Raw genomic sequence first — 4,936 nt, forward strand, 5'->3', positions numbered from 1 at the left:
GGATTATAAAGGAAGGATGGACAGGACCTGGTGATTGCTTAGAAGTGGTGGAAAGAGACAGAGAGGAGTCAAGAATGATTCTCAGGTTTCTAGCTTGAGCAACTACATGGATAGTGCCAATCCTATTTCTTTCGCCAATTTGCCGTGTATCAGGCTCTCTAGATGTCTGTCTTCCTAGCTAGCAAATGAAGATAATGAAGCCTAACTTCCCCGTGTATCAGGCTGGTGTCAAGATGAAGTCATCAATCTGGAAGTGCTTTGTTTGTTTGTTTGTTTATTTTTATTTTGAGGTGGAGTCTTGCTCTGTCGCCCAGGCTGGAGTGCAATGGCGCGATCTCGGCTTGCTGCAACCTCCGCCTCCCAGGTTCTAGTGATTCTCCTGCCTCAGCCTCCTGAGTAGCTGGGATTACAGGCGCCCACCACCAAACCTGGCTAAGTTTTGTATTTTTAGTAGAGATGGGGTTTCACCATGTTGACCAGGCTGGTCTTGAACTCTTGACCTCAAGTGATCCATGCGCCTCGGCCTCCCAAAGTGCTGGGATGACAGGCGTGAGCCACTGCTCCCGGCCTGGAAGTACTTTGGAAAGTCAAAAGTCCTTTGCATTATTTTATAGTTATTTTTACTATCCTCCCCCTCCTGGAGCTTGCTGATGGAGCCAGACTGAGAGGCAACCCAGGGGAGCTGCCTGCTCACTGGGAGGCAGCCGCTGTATCTTCCATCAGGCAGCTCTGTCTCTTTGGCAGGTGGGAGCCACATTCCCACATACTAAATTGTTAATAGCTTCCCCAGGGAGTTCCTTTCTGCTCTGACTCCTTCAGTGATTTCTGTTTCTCTCCTGCTGACGCCTTCTGATGCCCTGGGTTAGCCCAGGATTTCCCATCCATTTTTCTCTTCATTTCTCCCACCTTGAGGTCAGGATATGAACAAGCTCCAAATACAGCTCAAACTCCTCTGTGACCCAGGTGTGAAGGACTGTGTCTACCCTGGTTCCCCCCAACAGTGGGGATGAACTCAAGAATCTCCCAAGTGGCCGGGCACAGTGGCTCACACCTGTAATCCCAGCACTTTGGGAGGCCAAGGCGGGCGGATCACCTGAGGTCAGGAGTTCGAGACCAGCCTGACCACATGAAGAAACCCCATCCCTACTAAAAATACAAAATTAGCCAGGTGTGGTGGCACATGCCTGTGATCCCAGCTACTCGGGAGGCTGAGGCAGGAGAATCGCTTGAACCCGGGAGGCGGAGGTTGCAGTGAGCCGAGATTGTGCCATTGCACTCCAGCATGGGCAACAAGAGCAAGACTCCATCTCAATAATAATAATAATAATAATAATAATAATAATAATAATAATAATAAAGAATCTCCCAAGCTCCAAGTGAGTCATTGCCCTACACCGGGGTGGTGGGGAAACTCTGCTGAACAGAGGCAGACGGAGTATGTTTTTCTGGGTGACTTTCTAGTCTTTGTTCTGGGAGGCATCATAGTCTAGTAGTCAGGAGACTGGGGTTTGGAGTCACACAGATCTGGCTTGGCATCTCAGTTCTGGCTTGGGTAGGTAACCTAACCTCTGCAAAATGGAATAATAATAACTCTATATGCTTATAGGACTGCTTGGGGATTAAATGAGATAATCCACATAGCATTTGGCCCAGTGCCTGCCATAGAACATGCTCTCCATAAATGGAAGCCAACAGCGTTGTTATATGAATTTGTGACCACAGAAATGAGACTGCCTTTTAAAGATAAGTAGACTAGAAGTCCAGGTGCAGTGGCTCATGCCTATAATTCCAGCACTTTGGGAGGCTTGAGCCCAGGAATTCGAGCCCAGGAGTTCGAGACCAGCCTGGGCGACATAGTGAGACACCATCTCTACAAAAAAAAAAAAAAAAAAAAAAAAAGCCAGGTGCGGTGGCTCACATCTGAAATCCCAGCACTTTGGGAGGCCGAGGCGGGCAGATCAGGAGGTCAAGAGATGGAGACCATCTTGGCCAATGTGGTGAAACCCCGTCTCTACTAAAAATACAAAAATTAGCCAGGTGTGGTGTTGCGCACCTGTAGTCCCAGCTACTCTGGAGGCTGAGGCAGGAGAATTGCTTGAACCCTGGAGGCAGAGGTTGCAGTGAGCTGAGATCGTGCCACTGCACTCCAGCCTGGCAACAGAACAAGACTCCGTCCCCCACCTCAAAAAAATAAAAATAAAATAAATTGATCATTTCCAAGTTTTCATTTTAGAAGGTCATTGTGGAAAACCCTCTAGAAGCCTTTGAATTTTCATTTGTTCCTCCAATGTCCAGAATGGGGAAATTCACTTGCACTAGGCATGTATGTTTTCTTTTCTTTTCTTTTCTTTTTTTTTTTTTTTTTTTTGAGACAGTCTCGCTCTGTTGCCCAGGATAGAGTGCAAAGGCACAATCTCGGCTCACTGCAACCTCTGCCTCCCAGATTCAAGCATTTCTTCTGCCTCAGCTTCCTGAGTAGCTAGGATTACAGGTGTGTGCCACCAAGCCTGGCTAATTTTTTGTATTTTTAGTAGAAACGGGGTTTTGCTGTGTTAGCCAGGCTGGCCTTGAACTCCTGACCTCAGGTGATTTGCCCTCCTCGGCCTCCCAAAGTGCTGGGATTACAGATGTGAGCCACGGAGCCCAGCCAACATGTATGTTTTCTTAGCAATTATTTCACTCATGTACTTGGTCATTTACATATCTTTTGCAACTTCTTTTTTTTTTTTGAGATGGACTTCTGCTCTTTTCACCCAGGCTGGAGTGCAATGGTGCCATCTCAGCTCACTGCAACCTCTGCCTCCCAGATTCAAACGATTCTCCTGCCTCAGCCTCCCAAGTAGCTGGGATTACAGGCGCCCAACATCATGCCCAGCTATTTTTTTTTTTTTTTTTTTTTTGGTATTTTTAGTAGAGACGGTGTTTCACCATGTTGTTCAGGCTGGTCTCGAACTCCTGACCTCAGGTGATCCGCCCTCCTTGGCCTCCCAAAGTGCTGGGATTACAGGCATGAGCCACCACACCCAGCCCTCTTTCACAACTTCTTGATTGTGAGCTTCTTTAAAAAAAAAAAAAATTACGAAGTAACCAAAGTTGGAACTGAGCTTCTTTATTCAGTCACTCATCAAGTAAGCACCTGTGTGTCAGGGCTTGCACTAAGCTGGAGGGCACAGAAACACACAAGATCTTTTTATGTTTTTTTCAACTTATTATTATTATTATTATTTTGAGACAGGGTCTTGCTGTCATCCAGGCTGGAGTGCAGGGGCAAGATCTCGACTCACTGCAGCCTCTATTTTCCCAGCTCAAATGATCCTCCCACCTCAGCCTCCCAAGTAGCTGCAACTAGAGACACACATTACCATTCCTGGCTAATTTTTTTTTTTTTTTTTTTTTTTTTTTTGTAGAGACAGGGTTTTGCCATGTTGCCCACGCTGGTTTCGAACTCCTAGGCTCAAGTGATCTGTCTGCCTCAGCCTCTCAAAATGTTCGGATTACAAGTGTGTGCCACCGTGCCCAGCCTTTTTCAATTTTTCTTGTAGATCCAAGGGATCCATGTGCAGATTTGCCACCTGGGTATATTTTGTGATGCTGAGGTTTGGGGTATGAATTATCCTGTCAACTAAGTTACTGAGCATAGTATTCAATGGTTAGTTTTACACAATACTTTTTTGTGTGAAGGTGATGCACAAAAAATCCAATGATTACACAATAAATACATGGGAAACTATTAATATGTAAAGAAGAAGTACGTGATGCTACTGCATAATAAGGAGAGCTGGGCTAGTTGGAGGTGGGGTGGGGATCAGGGAAGGTTTCACAAAGGAAGTGATATTTAAGCTGAAATTTGAGGGGTAAATAACGCTTAGGCTGGGGTATTGGCCCAGCCTTCCGAGTGGAAGGAATAGCATGTACAAATGTCCTGAGGTAGGAAAAAACTTGGCTTGGAGGGTTAGGGAGGGGACCAGAATTCCAATAAAGTAGCCCTCCTTCTTCCTATCCCAATTTCTCTCTGCTGGCACTAGAAAAGTTTCTGAGTACCAGGCCCTTTGGGAAAGGGAGAGAGTTTTGGCAGCAGGTGACCACAGCAAAAATCTTTCTGATAAGTCCTTAGGTGGTTGAGTGGGAAAGCCCTGGGGTGGGGGGCTTGCTGTAGTTGGTAGAAGTGGCTGGACAGCAGCTAAGTGGGGTGGAGAAAATGGAGAAGAGGGTGAGCTTGGGAATTCTGGCTTTGCTTTTTTCTGGGAAAGGGTAGGAGCCTTGCACATATATGGATGATTCAAGCTAGAGGGTGAGATGAGGGAGAGCTCCTTGTCCAGCCACACACAGATCCAAGAGCATTGCCCCAGAGCCTAGAGCTCAGAACCCCTAATATTGTTCCACTCCAGTTCCCTTTGGGATCTTTATTATCCAAAAAGTATTTCTTGAGCACCTGCTGTGACCCCAGCCCTCTCCTGGATGCAGGGGTCAATCAGACCTGGTCCCTTTAAGGAGGGAGACCAGTTCGGATAGAAATAATTACTATATGGGATAATTTAGTGCTGAGCACTAAATCTGTAACATGGGGACAATAATAATAGAAGCTACACCAAAGTGTTGGTGCATGGATAAAGTGCTTATCACAGTGCCTGGAGCAAAGTAATGCTTGGTAGAATGTTCTGGAAAGGCTAGGCACCCCAAGAAGAAGGATGGCTCTAATCTGGAATGGTTAGGTCTTGGAAGGGGTGTGGCAAGGATGACTTAGCCAAGTGCCCCCCTTCTATCTGCTCGCACTGCAGCCAGAGTGCTCCTTAAGGTGGTCTTCAAGAGCCTGCCCACCACCTCATCGCCCCCTCACTTCCTGCCTTCTCCTCTTCCTGGCTTCCTTTCAGTCCCTCTGCTTCCTTTATCCGGAATCCTCTTCCCTTGTTACTTCCTTAAGTTAGTTCTTCCCCAA

At 46.7% G+C, this 4,936-nt stretch overlaps 1 annotated feature.

Annotated features, from left to right (window-relative positions):
- Positions 538-1,045: an enhancer, noted in NCBI's record as "NANOG hESC enhancer chr1:29133560-29134067 (GRCh37/hg19 assembly coordinates)". NCBI's record gives its function as "activates a minimal SCP1, AML or CMV promoter by ChIP-STARR-seq in naive H9 embryonic stem cells {active_cell/tissue: H9 hESC(naive)}" and the evidence as "EXISTENCE:reporter gene assay evidence [ECO:0000049][PMID:30033119]".

This window comes from Homo sapiens, chromosome 1 (genome assembly GCF_000001405.40).
Source record: "Homo sapiens chromosome 1, GRCh38.p14 Primary Assembly".
Lineage (NCBI taxonomy): Eukaryota > Metazoa > Chordata > Mammalia > Primates > Hominidae > Homo > Homo sapiens.